The sequence below is a fragment of the Homo sapiens genome, chromosome 12 (genome assembly GCF_000001405.40).
Source record: "Homo sapiens chromosome 12, GRCh38.p14 Primary Assembly".
Classification (NCBI taxonomy): domain Eukaryota; kingdom Metazoa; phylum Chordata; class Mammalia; order Primates; family Hominidae; genus Homo; species Homo sapiens.
This window is the reverse complement of record NC_000012.12, coordinates 59319673-59334913: the sequence shown is the minus strand read 5'-3', so window position 1 is coordinate 59334913 and position 15241 is coordinate 59319673. Positions and strand designations below refer to the sequence as shown.

The following is a 15241-nucleotide window of genomic DNA, read 5'->3' as shown; positions in this document are numbered from 1 at the left end:
CAGTAATATGCTAAGGCCTCTAATGGGAAAAGTGAACAACATGCAAGAACAGATGGGTAATTTAAGAAGAAATATTGAAACTAAGAATCAAAAGAGAATGCTATAAATCAAAAACACTGTAAGAAAAATAAAGACCATCTTTGATGGCTCACCAGTAGACTTGATAAAGCCAAGAAAAGAATCAGTGACTCAAAGAAATGCCAATAGAAACTTCCAAAACTGAAACACAAAATGAAAAAGAATGAATAAGACAGAATAGAAAATTTAAGAGCTATGGGACAATTGCAAAGGTGTAACATACCTGTAATAGGAACATCAGAAGGAGAAGAAAGTGATTAAGGAACAGAAGAAGTATCTGAAGCGATAATGACGAGAATTTCTAAAAGTTAATGATAAACACCAAATCACAGATCCAGGAAGCTCATAGAAGACCAAGCAGAATAAATACAAAAACAAAATACCTCTAGGCAAATCATATTCCAACTGCAGAAAATCAAAATAGAGAAAATATTTTAAAAAGCTGGGGAGTGGGATTACTCTTTACCTCTGTAGGAGCAAGGACAGGGATTCCACTGAAACAATTCAAGGTAGAAGGGAGTGGAACCAAATGGAAGTAAACTAGAACTGAATGATGGAAGGATACCCGAAAAATCTCAAACAACTTGGAGATTCAATAATTCCAGTATAGCACCTGGGTGGAAGAAGTCCCAAGAGAAATTTAAACAAATTTTGAAGTAAATTAAGATAAAAACACAGCTTATCAGAATCTGTGGGATGCAGTGAAAGTAGTGTTTAGAAAGAAATTTACAGCATTGACTGCATATATTCAAAAAGATCAAAAATAAATAATTTAAGCTATCATTTTAGGAAACTAGAAAAAAGAAGGACAAATGAGATCCAAGGTAAACAGAAAAAAAAATTATTAGCACAGAATTAAGTAAAATTGAAAACAAGAAATCAACAGGAAAAAAAAAAAACAAAATAAAACCAAAAGCTGTCGTTTCAAAAAGATCAAAACAGGGCTGGGTGTGGTGGCTCACGCCTGTAATCCCAGCACCTTGGGAGACCAAGACAGGTGGATCACGAGGTCAAGAGTTTGAGACCAGCTTGGCCAACATAGTGAAACCCGGTCTCTATTAAGAATACAAAAATTAGCCAGGTGTGGTGGCAGACGCATTTAATCCCAGCTACTGGGGAGGCTGAGGCAGGAGAATCGCTTTGAACCTGGGAGGCGGAGGTGGCAGTCAGCCGAGATCTTGCCACTGCGCTCCAGCCTAGGCGACAGAGCACCACTCTGTCTGGGGTAGGGGTGGGGGTAAGAAAAACAAAGATCAAAACAATTGATAAGCCTTTAGCTTTAGTCAGGCTAACCAAAATAAAAGTGAGAAGTGAGAGACAGAAGACATTACTGATCTATGGACATTGAAATGATAATAAAGAACTATTTTTGAACAGCTCTGTGCTCATAAATTCAATGACTTAGATGAAATAGACCAATTCCTTGAAAGACACAATCTCAAACTTCACACAGGTAGGAATCAATTATCTGAATAGGTCTATATCTATTAGAGAATTGAATCAATTACTAATAATCTTTCTAAACAGAAACATCAGGCCCAGATAGTTTCACTGGTGAATTCTACCAAACATTTTAAAAATAAATTATTCCAATCCTCTATAATCTCTTCCAGAAAATAGAAGCGATATCTTCAGTCATTTGCTCATTTTAATTGAACATTATTAAATGAGTCGGAGTCTAGCAATCAGTACACGTTGGAACCTCACAAATATTTAGTGTGTGCATACTTAATTATGCTACTCTAGTGAATCAAAACATCTGTTTAAGAAAAGCAAACAGTACCCTCCAGTGTGCAGGTGGGTAGCAGTTCTAGGTAAGTAAGTGGCTGTCTAACTCAAACTTGTCACTTTGTCAGTTACTTACAAAAATAGACACAGCTAGTTATTTAAACAACAATTTACCAAATCAGACATTATTTCCAATACATCTGCCACAAGGAATTTATTCCTTAACCTTCATAAAGCTAAAAGCCTTCTCTTTATAATACTGCATGTTTCACCAATTAAACTATATTGACTATCATATGTCATTATCAATGACATTCTATCAATGTGACAATTTCAAATATCATTCTTGGTTTTATAAAGTTATTTTTGAAATTTTATTAGGAGTTTGGATTTTGTAATCTATATAAGAAAGACAATATTAACATTTAAGTGGTACTTTACCTAAGTATTCTAATAGTACCCTATTTGAGGTATGCTAAATGTGCATCCTAGTTCTCATTCTCTAGTGATTGTAAATTCAATATTAAAATCAAATTGGACAATAGTAAACTAAAAATCAGGCCATGACAAAAATGTTCATTTTTAGATGGCAATATAGTAGGACATTACATTAAAATATTGATTGAAATATAAATGTTGATGGTCAATGTATATGATAAAAGTATCATAAAAATAAAAGGAAATATATGTGAATTGAAGTTGTGGATTATATAGTGTGTTCTAAGTTATCAACCTCTTCATTTCCACTTGATGTACTGGTGGATGTACTGGTATAGATACAAAAATTTGTAATACATGAATCTATCTGGTTGTATTTTTAAATTTCTTGAAATGCAGAATATACATGTTATGATTCTCTCAAGAGCAACTGATGTTTTAGGTTAAAAGTTTTTAACAATAATCCTACATACAGAGTTCTGATTAAAGTTGCATTTATCATTCTATTTTACAGACTCTAAAAAGCAAATTTTTCTTACAGATCCCTCAGTTATAAAATATAGCCTTATTACTTTTCTAAAATAGCCATAATTACTGATTTAATAATTGAAAAAATGATTTCCCATATGTAAATAAAAACAAAATCTCTCATTTGTGTCTCATTGTGTTCTTGTTGCCTTTAGTAAGCATACTTTTAGGATGTCATTTATTTTAAAAGCATTAGGTAGAAATCTCTGAAAATCCTTGTTGGATACACTAAACAAAAAAGGAGAGAAAACTAAATTACTATTTTAGAAGATCTGTACAGAAAAATTAAAATGTCATATGTAAACCAAGATCCCACAAAAACCTAGGGATTTAAAAGCTCTTCTAACAGTTTATAATCATCATAGCAAAAAGTAGGATGTATTTTTCTCTATATATTTCCATTTATAAACCTAAAATACTAACTGTTGATACATAAACTTTAGAGAGTTTCTGAAAAACGTGCTTGATAAAATCAATTTTTATAGAATGTTCCCAATATTTTATAGAATGCTCCCAACATCCAAGTTGTAATCATACACATCTTCCCAAATTTTGATACACTAAGCCTAATTTTCTTACCCCACCAAGTCAGTTGTTCACTTATTTTTAATTTACTAAATTTTGAAATAAATTTTTTCTTTTTTGTTCCTGCCATTATTGTTCATAATGATGATTATTCAAGCTAATAGGGTTTTTCTTTAAAAAGAATCTCTACATAAAATTAGCTATCACATTTTGAAAATCATTGGCATATGATATGCTACAGAAATGCCAAGAACATTTTATTACATAAAAACTTGACAAATATTGATAGCTATGTAAAGGGCAAGCTTATATGAATTTTTATTTAACTCACCAATTATCATTTTTAAAGGGCAATTCAGTGCCGGAAAAAAGAGGTTAAATTATTCTAGTTTGCAGTTGATTCCTTAATAGTGCTTGTTAAGTAGCATCCATTCCTCAAGGAGAAAAATGTGGTCACTTTTTTTCTTTACACTTAAAGAATCTGAGACATATTTGACTCAATTTAAAGGCCAATGAAGAGTGGTGAGTTTTTTAATATTGTTCTGTTAAATAATATAATTAATTATAAGGTAAAATTAAAAATCTAACTTTTTAAATGTCATCAATTTCAAATATATGTTTTTTAGGATTATGTTCATTGACTTGCTAATTTGCTTAAAAACAGTACAATATTCTTTAGTAAACATAAAACTATATTTAATTTCCATGTGTGTATAGAAAACAGAATCTCATGTTGGTTTTCCGAGGTCCATCTTCCCTCTTGAAGTTTCTTAATAATTATCTTGGCTTCAGGCGCTTTGCTCAAAATCAAGGAATCCTTTATGATGATGACCCACCACACCTAAACTCCACAGTTTCTCAGTATCTCCATGTAAATTCTTCACAGAACTCGAAATCACTGATCTCATCTGTCTTGATCCAAGCCTCACAAATTACAATTAAGTAAGCAAGGAGTGTACAGATGGTCATCGTTGTGTTAGGGCCACTCTTGATGCAGTTAGCCATTGGGGTGGGGTCTTGTGATAGAAAAAGCATACTTATTGCCTTTCAAAGGGCTCTAGGAAGGGCAGTCTTTTGAGAGCTGCTTTAGGTGAGTAAAGACTTAAACTATGCTTATTGCATTTCTTTGCAAGGAATGTCATGGAGTAAGACATATTGGGTTATTGAATATAGCAACCCTGAATATGATTCTGAGAGTTCCAAGAGCACTCCCTCAGGGAGGCTTAAAGCACACAGCATTGCTTGTGGCTGGATAGAAAAGATTTGTTTAACACTGGGGTTCGGTTTTAGAAAATGTGACGATAATTCCCATGGGAGCCTCACATGCCATACCCTTTTGAAATGTTTAAGGACACAGTGCTTTGCTATTTGCTTCACTATTATCTATTTCTCACCAAGTGAGATCAGATGAGAAAGTGGGGTACATTTGCTGGATTACCTCAAGTATACACAAAAATATTTCTTTGATTATAAGTGAATACTTTGGTATATGTTATAATTGCAAGTGTTCCTTAGAATTATGCAAATTTGTAGTTCCTAATATTTATGATGTATGTGTTCATTTTACAGTGTCTCATTTCATTTATTAATCTCTCTACATCTATCAATCCGGCTCCTTCTCTGAATCTATCATCTCTACACATGTCTACATACATATATCACTTTGTGCATGTGTGTGTGTGTGTGCAAGAGAGAGAGAGATAGAGAATGTATGTGTTTTTCCTAGACTGATCTGTATATCTAGGCAGCTATGGAGAGATTTTGTTTGTTTGTTTCAGAAAATCCCTGCAAACATGGTCACTCTCATGGTTTCAGAAGTTGTAATAACCTGGTTAGAACCCTCACACTTTCCAATGAAAACCACTGTATTTGTATTCAGCAACCATATAACAAAGAGGATGACCAGTCGGTATTTATTATGTCCCCTTCAAAGAGAGAACACAGACTTTCAGATGCATCTTAGTTCAGAGGAGCAGTTAACAAGCCCTGCAGAGGGGAAATGCAGCTGGGAATATCTCACTAGATGTGTCAAGGAAAGTTGAATTTGAACTGTAAATCAAAACTTCTTCATTCATCGATTTTATTTGCTTCAGAGATGTTTTATCTTCATTTTTGATGTTAAGTAGACAGGAGCTGCTAATACTGTCTGTAGGACAGAGAAATGGGGTTTGTGCAGAGAAAGAAAGATATTCACTAAGATATTGTGCTCAACTCCCACGGTAAAAGTTGAAAATGATAAATCCTGTTGGCAGTATATGTTTCCAAATGGAACTGCTTCATTTTCAGTGTGTCACCTACTTCATTCTAAATTTTTTTCTCCCACAAGATGGTAAACACTTAAAATACCTGAGGGGAATTTATTATGGAAAGACATCTTTTGATTTCAGGTGATTTTCTTACCTTTTTTGGAAAAGCAAGCATATACACGTTTTTTGTCATGTGATTCAGACTGCCTGAGGCATACTTCTTTGGAGAATGGAAGAGGTAGTTATTTGGGTTTTAAGAAAGAAAATAAAAATATAATGTTCTTGTATGTGTCTTTGGGGTCCAGGACTCAAGTTACAGTTCAGACAACTCAATACATTTATTTCCCCATTTAGCAGTATCTGCACAAAAAAGAATTAGGAGACTGTCAGGCCTCTGAGCCCAAGCCAAGCCATCGCATCCCCTGTGACCTGCACGTATACACCCAGATGGCCTGAAGTAACTAAAGAATCACAAAAGAAGTGAATATGCCCTGCCCCACCTTAACTGATGACACTCCACCACAAAAGAAGTGTAAATGGCCGGTCCTTGCCTTAACTGATGACATTACCTTGTGAAAGTCCTCTTCCTGGCTCATCCTGGCTCAAAAAGCACCCCCACTGAGCACCCTGTGACCCCCACTCCTGCCCACTGAGCACCTTACGACCCCCACTCCTACTCGCCAGAGAACAAACCCCCTTTGACTGTAATTTTCCTTTACCTACCCAAATCCTATAAAACGGCCCCACCCCTATCTCCCTTCGCTGACTCTCTTTTCGGCCTCAGCCCGCCTGCACCCAGGTGAAATAAACAGCCATGTTGCTCACACAAAGCCTGTTTGGTGGTCTCTTCACACGGACGCACATGAAATTTGGTGCCGTGACTTGGATCGGGGGACCTCCCTTAGGAGATCAATCCCCTGTCCTCCTGCTCTTTGCTCCGTGAGAAACATCCACCTACGACCTCAGGTCCTCAGACCGACCAGCTCAAGAAACATCTCACCAATTTCAAATCTGGTAAGCGGCCTCTTTTTACTCTCTTCTCCAACCTCCCTCACTATCCCTTAACCTCTTTCTCCTTTCAATCTTGGCGCCACACTTCAATCTCTCCCTTCTCTTAATTTCAATTCCTTTCATTTTCTGGTAGAGACAAAAGAGACATGTTTTATCCATGAACCCAAAACTCCGGCGCCAGTCACGGACTGGGAAGGCAGCCTTCCCTTGGTGTTTAATCATTGCAGGGACGCCTCTCTGATTATACACTCACGTTTCAAGGGTGTCAGACCACACAGGGACGCCTGCCTTGGTCCTTCACCCTTAGTGGCAAGTCTCGCTTTCCTGGGGCAGGGGAAAGTACCCCTCAACCACTTCCCCTTCACTCTTAGCGGCAAGTCCCGCTTTCCTGGGGCAGGGGCAAGTACCCCTCAACCCCTTCTCCTTCACCCTTGGCGGCAAGTCCCGCTTTCCTAGGGGGCAAGAAGCCCGCATTCGCTTATTTCCGCACCCCAACCTCTTATCTCTGTGCCCCAATCCCTTATTTCCACACCCTGACCTCTTATCTCTGTGCCCCAATCCCTTATTTCCGTGCCCCAACCCCTTCTCCGCTTTTCTGGAGGACAAGAACCCCCCAACACTTCTCCGTGTCTCTACTCTTTTCTCTGGGCTTGCCTCCTTCACTATGGGTAAGCTTCCACCTTCCATTCCTCCTTCTTCTCCCTTAGCCTGTGTTCTCAAAAACTTAAAACCTCTTCAACTCACACCTGACCTAAAACCTAAATGCCTTATTTTCTTCTGCAATGCCGCTTGACCCCAATACAAACTCGACAGTAGTTCCAAATAGCCAGAAAATGGCACTTTGAATTTTTCCATCCTGCAAAATCTAAATAATTCTTGTTGTAAAATAGGCAAACGGTCTGAGGTGCCTGACGTCCAGGCATTCTTTTCCACATTAGTCCCTTCCTAGTCTCTGTGACCAGTGCAACTCGTCCCAAATCTTCCTTCTTTCCCTCCCACCTGTCCCCTCAGTACCAACCCCAAGCGTCGCTGAGTCTTTCTAATCTTCCTTTTCTACAGACCCATCTGACCTCTCCCTTCCTCCCCAGGTTGTTCCTCGCCAGGCCGAGCTAGGTCCCAATTCTTCCTCAGCCTCTGCTCCTCCACCCTATAATCTTTTTATCACCTCCCCTCCTCACACCTGGTCCGGCTTACAGTTTCATTCCGTGACTAGCCCTCCCCCACCTGCCCAGCAATTTACTCTTGAAAAGGTGGCTGGAGCTAAAGGCATAGTCAAGGTTAATGCTCCTTTTTCTTTGTCCCAAATCAGATAGCGTTTAGGCTCTTTTTCATCAAATATAAAAATCCAGCCCAGTTCATGACTTGTTTGGCAGCAACTCTGAGACACTTTACAGCCCTAGACACTAAAAGGTCAAAAGGCCGTCTTATTCTCAAAATACATTACCCAATCTGCTCCCGACATTAAATAAAACTCCAAAAATTAAATTCCGGCCCTCAAACCCCACAACAGGATTTAATTAACCTCGCCTTCAAGGTGTACAATAATAGAAAAAAGTTGCAATTCCTTGCCTCCACTGTGAGACAAACCCCAGCCACATCTCCAGCACACAAGAACTTCCAAACGCCTGAACCACAGCGGCCAGGCGTTCCTCCAGAACCTCCTCCAACAGGAGCTTGCTACACGTGCCGGAAATCTGGCCACTGGGCCAAGGAATGCCCACAGCCCGGGATTCCTCCTAAGCCACGTCCCATCTGTGTGGGACCCCACTGAAAATCGACTGTTCAACTCACCTGGCAGCCACTCCCAGATCCCCTGGAACTCTGGCCCAAGGCTGTCTGACTGACTCCTTCCCAGATCTTCTCGGCTTAGCAGCTGAAGACTGACACTGCCCGATCGCCTCAGAAGCCCCCTAGACCATCACGGACGCCGAGCTTCCAGTAACTCTCACAGTGGAAGGTAAGGCCGTCCCCTTCTTAATCAATATGGAGGCTACCCACTCCACATTACCTTCTTTTCAAGGGCCTGTTTCCCTTGCCTCCATAACTGTTGTGGGTATTGACGGCCAGGCTTCTAAACCTCTTAAAACTCCCCAACTCTGGTGCCAACTTAGACAATACTCTTTTAAGCACTCCTTTTTAGTTATCCCCACCTGCCCAGTTCCCTTATTAGGCTGAGACACTTTAACTAAATTATCTGCTTCCCTGACTATCCTGGACTACAGCTATATCTCATTGCCGCCCTTCTTCCCAATCCAAAGCCTCCTTTGCGTCCTCCTCTTGTATCCCCCTACCTTAACCCACAAGTATAAGATACCTCTACTCCCTCCTTGGCGACCGATCACGCACCCCTTACCATCTCATTAAAACCTAATCACCCTTACCCCACTCAATGCCAAAATCCCATCCCGCAGCACACTTTAAAAAGATTAAAGCCTGTTATCACTCGCCTGCTACAGCATGGCCTTTTAAAGCCTATAAACTCTCCTTACAATTCCCCCATTTTACCTGTCCTAAAACCAGACAAACCTTACAAGTTAGTTCAGGATCTGCACTTTATCAACCAAATTGTTTTGCCTATCCACCCCGTGGTGCCAAACCCATATACTCTCCTATCCTCAATACCTGCCTCTACAACCCATTATTCTGTTCTAGATCTCAAACATGCTTTATTTACTATTCCTTTGCACCCTTAATCCCAGCCTCTCTTCGCTTTCACTTGGACTGACCCTGACACCCATCAAGCTCAGCAAATTACCTAGGCTGTACTGCCGCAAAGCTTCACAGACAGCCCCCATTACTTCAATCAAGCCCAAATTTCTTCCTCAACTGTTACCTATCTCGGCATAATTCTCATAAAAACACACGTGCTCTCCCTGCCAATCGTGTCTGACTGATCTCTCAAACCCCAAACTCTACAAAACAACTCCTTTCCTTCCTAGGCATGGTTAGGGTGGTCAGAATTCTTACACAAGAGCCAGGACCACACCCTGTAGCCTTCTGTCCAAACAACTTGACCTTACTGTTTTAGCCTAGCCCGTATGTCTGCGTGCGGCAGCTGCCACTGCATTAATACTTTTAGAGGCCCTCAAAATCACAAACTATGCTCAACTCACTCTCTACAGTTCTCATAACTTCCAAAATCTATTTTCTTCCTCATACCTGACGCATATACTTTCTGCTTCCCAGCTCCTTCAGCTATACTCACTCTGTTGAGTCTCCCACAATTATCATTGTTCCTGGCCCATACTTGAATCCGGCCTCCCACATTATTCCTGATACCACACCTGACCCCCATGACTGTATCTCTCTGATCCACCTGACATTAACCCCATTTCCCCAAATTTCCTTCTTTCCTGTTCCTCACCCTGATCACGCTTGATTTATTGATGGCAGTTCCACCAGGCCTAGTCGCCACATACCAGCAAAGGCAGGCTATGCTATAGTACAAGCCACTAGCCCGCCTCTCAGAACCTCTCATTTCCTTTCCATCGTGGAAATCTATCCTCAAGGAAATAACTTCTCAGTGTTCCATCTGCTATTCTACTACTCCTCAGGGATTATTCAGGCCCCCTCCCTTCCCTACACATCAAGCTCGAGGATTTGCCCCCACCCAGGACTGGCAAACTAGCTTTACTCAACATGCCTGAGTCAGGAAACTAAAATACCTCTTAGTCTAAATAGACACTTTCACTGAATAAGTAAAGGCCTTTCCTACAGGGTCTGAGAAGGCCTCCGCAGTCATTTCTTCCATTCTGTCAGACATAATTCCTCAGTTTAGCCTTCCCACCTCAATACAGTCTGATAACAGATGAGCCTTTATTAGTCAAATCAGCCAAGCAGTTTTTCAGGCTCTTAGTATTCAGTGAAACCTTTATATCCCTTACAGTCCTCCATCTTCAAGAAAGGTAGAATGGACTGAAGGTCTTTTAAAAACACACCTCACCAAGCTCAGCCATCAAAAAGGACTGGACAATACTTTTATCACTTTCCCTTCTCAGAATTCAGGCCTGTCCTCGGAATGCTACAAGGTACAGCCCATTTAAGCTCCTGTATAGATGCTCCTTTTTATTAGGCCCCAGTCTCATTCCAGACACCGGACCAACTTAGACTGTGCCCCAATAAAAGCTTGTCATCCCTACTGTTTTCTGTCTAGTCATACTCCTATTCTCCATTCTCAACTACTCATACATGCCCTGCTCTTCTTTACACTGCCAGTTTACACTGTTTATCCAAGCCATCACAGCTGATATCTCCTCGTGCTATCCCCAAACCGCCACTCTTAACTCTTGAAGTAAATAAATAATCTTTGCTGGCAGGACTATGCTGAATCTCCTTAGGCACTCTCTAATCAGATGTCCTAGGTCCTCCCAATTCTTAGACCTTTTATACCTGTTTTTCTCCTTCTTATTCCATTTAGTTTTTCAGTTCATACAAAACCATATCCAGGCCATCACCAATCATTCTATACAACAAATGTTTCTTCTAACAACCCCACAATATCACCCCTTACCACAAGATCTCCTTTCAGCTTAATCTCTCCCACTCTAGGTTCCCACGCCGCCCCTAATCCCTCTTGAAGCAGGCCTGAGGAACATCGTCCACTCTCTCTCCATACCACCCCCCAAAAATTTTCGCCGCCCCAACACTTCAACACTATTTTGTTTTATTTTTCTTATTAAGAAGGCAGGAATGTCAGGCCTCTGAGCCCAAGCCAAGCCATCACATCCCCTGTGACCTGCACATATACGCCCAGAGGGCCTGAAGTAACTAAAGAATCACAAAAGAAGTGAATATGCCCTGCCCCACCTTAACTGATGACATTCCACCACAAAAGAAGTGTAAATGGCCGGTCCTTGCCTTAACTGATGACATTACCTTGTGAAAGTCCTTTTCCTGGCTCATCCTGGCTCAAAAAGCACCCCCACTGAGCACCTTGTGACCCCCCCACTCCTGCCCACTGAGCACCTTGCGACCCCCACTCCTACCTGCCAGAGAACAAACCCCCTTTGACTGTAATTTTCCTTTACTTACCCAAATCCTATAAAATGGCCCCACCCTTGTCTCCCTTTGCTGACTCTCTTCGGCCTCAGCCCACCTGCACCCAGGTGAAATAAACAGCCATGTTGCTCACACAAAGCCTGTTTGGTGGTCTCTTCACACAGACGCACATGAAAGAGACTTTACCAGTGAATATTTTAAAATAGTCTGAAATTACCCCAACAACAGCAAATCAAAAAAGAACAACCATTCTTTTTCTTTTCAAATTACACATCTCTCAAGTGGCATTTTGTACATTCTTTTTTTCTTTAAAGCTATCCTTGAAAACAAGAGTTATTTAGTAACCATTTGAGCAAACGCGGCCTATTTTTCTCTGATCACACCAGTCTGCAGGGGGATGGGGGAGGGGAGGCAGTCACAAAACCAGCATTTTACTGGATTTTACTGACTTTCTATTAGCAAAAACAGTTTTCTTCAAATTCTACCACACAGTTGAGATTTCCCAAGGAGTGCCTAATGAATTTGCCATAAACCAACCTTCCAGATTACCATTTTGCCTCCTCTTCTGCCTCAGCTAATTCTGATGACCATCACTCTATTCTTCAAAAAAGAAATTTGAACTGTAAAGCCAAAGCACACAGAAGGCTTTGTTGCCAGTGTTGGCCGTCATCCAGGGCCTGTCTCAAAGCAGCCTGTCTCTTGTTCCCTGCCTTCTGAATATGACATGCTGATGCTGCTCACTGGTGGTGCTACCAGAAATACTATTGCAGATGGCCACTGAAGGTGCCACCACTGGGACCAGTGCCTGCCAGTTTCTACATTTCAACAGCCACTGACCGATATCTAGGTCCTGCATAGCTGTCTGTACTTCTGGCACCATTTCTCATGCTTGCCAGTACAATGGTACCACCCCTCCTTGCCTTTATAACTGCTGACACTAACATTTCTGATGCTCCATGCTCTCAATATTTTGTGCAGGTTTGAAAGAAGAGGCATTTTTAGTTTTCATCTACTCTTTTATTATTAGCCTTTTTGCCCAAGAATCAAGGCATGAATTTGTAAGGGCCAACTGGAGAACAACTTGAGTGACCAATACCAAGTTGTACTCAAATTTGCCTTCTAGCAGGAAACTACTGCTTTTGAAACAGACGGTGCACTTTTACTTTTTCTTCTTGTAGGATATGTGTTTCTTGGTTTTCATCTAAACAAGGCCTTTGAACAGCCAACCTACAAGAATGCCAGCTATAGCCATGTATTCCTCAATGCTAGGCTGAACGCAAAAGAGATTCAAATTGGGACTTTCGATAAACATCATTCAAATAATTGCTACAACATAACACATGTCACATTGGAGCCCACTGGTGTGAGGGCTAGAGTGATCAACTTTTTTGAAGAGAGTTTAATGTCATGGAGAATTAAAAATAAACATAAACACAAATGCACAGTCTTTTTTATTTGAATGAATAACTAAGGTTTTGTTTGTTATCTTGGCAAATAAAAAGGGGAAAGTAAGCTGTTTTTCTAAAAAAATTGTTTTGATTTTTCTTCCCTTTGAAAAACAGAGCTGAAAGTACCACTAATGTCAGAGTTCCAAAAGGGTGTTTTGCCTCAAATATGAACCATGAAACAAAGGCAAAATTGTACCAATTGTACTGGTCAATATAATCTAAGCAAAAAAATCTGATTTAATGAAGATAACTATAGGAACATCTATAAACTAGATTTTTCTCTTCTGCCTGGGTCTTAGGAGGAAACAACAGTGGGAAACAAGCCTCCTCCCATAAGTGAAGTGACAGCCTTTGGGATTAGGGACTAGGAAGCAATTGGATCTGTTCTGATCCATGGAAAATGATTTGGGTGAGAGTTGGAGAATATTGCCCAATCAGAGACCTGGAAATGGAGACTGTTACATTTGGTCATCATGTATAAATAACCCATCTAGCTTTAGATTTAGTGCCACTTCAGGGCAAGAGCTAGCACCAAAACTAAGTCATATTCCAGGGGAAGACATGAACACAATCCTAGCCAAAAGTTACATATATCCTGATAATAAAATTATCTGAAAATTGAACGTATATTCTTATGACATGGGTGGGAGAATGAGCAGGAAGGATAATAGGTATGGTGTCTCTTCCATTTTTGTCTATAAGAATAAAATAAAGAGATCTCATTTGTTTGAGGTACCAGATTCTCTATAAGTTGGAAGAAATTTAAAAAGATTTTCTGTAAAATGTCAAGCTAGTCCAGGATATATACTACAAAATTTTCTTTTGCCAATTCCTCTCCAAATCCTAAAGATGCAATCAAACATCCATACCTAGTCATGATGTTTATAAATAAATATTCAGTGAAATAATTTTTTTTTTTTTTTTTTTTGAGACAGGGTCTCAGTCTGTCGCCCAGGCTGGAGTGCAGTGGCGCAATCTCGGCTCACTCCAAGTTCCGCCTCCCAGGTTCACGCCATTCTCCTGCCTCAGCCTCCTGAGTAGCTGGGACTACAGGCGCCCGCCACCACGCCCGGCTAATTTTTTGTATTTTTAGTAGAGATGGGGCTTCACCGTGTTAGCCAGGATGGTCTCCATCTCCTGACCTCGTGATCCACCCGCCTCGGCCTCCCAAAGTGCTGGGATTACAGGCGTGAGCCACCGCACCCGGCAATGATAGAACTTTTAAGCTTCCTTTGCTATAAGAATATTTGTCTACAAATATAAAAAGTATCCAGTTGAATTTCCCAAGATAGCCTTTTCAAATGACTCGAATCATCTATTTCATCCCCAGCAGCTCCTGTGTTCTAAAGCAAGCAATGCTTTTAGTCAAATGTTTAATGTTTCTTGTAGTTAGCATATCAGTTAATGATAATAATTAGTGATGCAGTAGAGTTTTAGTTTATATGTCCTGTTTACATTTTATAGTATGTTAGGATCTGCTGTAAAGATCCATTAGCATAATATATTCCATTTTAGAGGGTTTTATATGAGATATTTGTGCCACGGTGTTAAGGTCTAGTGGCCTACTGATCAGGAGATTAGAATTCTGGCCTCAGATTTGTCTCTGGACACATGAAATACACCAGACAAGTCTCTTCACCCCTTGGAGCCTCAGTTTTGTTATATGAAAAATGAGAAGTTGGGTTAGAAAGTCTCTTTTGGTCTGAAATATTTCTCTTTCTTAGATCATAATTTTTATATTAAATTTTAAATTTAGCTTTTCCATTACTACCAACTCTTAATGTCATTTTCTTCTTTTTGTGCCTGGTAAAGAAGTAAATTGACAGTTCTTGCATCAAGAAGTGTCCCTAATGGCCTCTTTGTATAAAGTATTGATTAGGCCCACAGTCCTTTCCTGGTTGTGGTTATCTCTTATCCTAAATGATGAAACAGGGTCTCAGGGAGTAATAACCTTACTCAAACTTATAGTGCCAAGCTAGGATTTGAAAACAGGTCTGCATAACCTTGAAATCCTTGTTTTTTTTTCTACTAAAACACCAATTTTTTAATCACATCTGTGACTTATTTGTGTCCAAATACTGAATCTGAATGCAATCCTCAACTGCATCATTGTTTCTGAGTAAAGCTACTAAAGTTTTATAACTAAACACTTCGCAACCCAACTCCAGGGAAAGCTTTGGAGTGAAAAGCAGCAAGTACTTATTAGAGCAAACATCCTGGGTGATATGTCAACAATAATGC

At 40.1% G+C, this 15241-nt stretch overlaps 3 annotated features.

Annotated features, from left to right (window-relative positions):
* Positions 5672-6564: an enhancer, noted in NCBI's record as "OCT4-NANOG-H3K27ac-H3K4me1 hESC enhancer chr12:59722131-59723023 (GRCh37/hg19 assembly coordinates)". NCBI's record gives its function as "activates a minimal SCP1, AML or CMV promoter by ChIP-STARR-seq in naive and primed H9 embryonic stem cells {active_cell/tissue: H9 hESC(naive and primed)}" and the evidence as "EXISTENCE:reporter gene assay evidence [ECO:0000049][PMID:30033119]".
* Positions 7459-8352: an enhancer, noted in NCBI's record as "H3K27ac hESC enhancer chr12:59720343-59721236 (GRCh37/hg19 assembly coordinates)". NCBI's record gives its function as "activates a minimal SCP1, AML or CMV promoter by ChIP-STARR-seq in naive H9 embryonic stem cells {active_cell/tissue: H9 hESC(naive)}" and the evidence as "EXISTENCE:reporter gene assay evidence [ECO:0000049][PMID:30033119]".
* Positions 11036-11929: an enhancer, noted in NCBI's record as "OCT4-NANOG-H3K27ac hESC enhancer chr12:59716766-59717659 (GRCh37/hg19 assembly coordinates)". NCBI's record gives its function as "activates a minimal SCP1, AML or CMV promoter by ChIP-STARR-seq in naive and primed H9 embryonic stem cells {active_cell/tissue: H9 hESC(naive and primed)}" and the evidence as "EXISTENCE:reporter gene assay evidence [ECO:0000049][PMID:30033119]".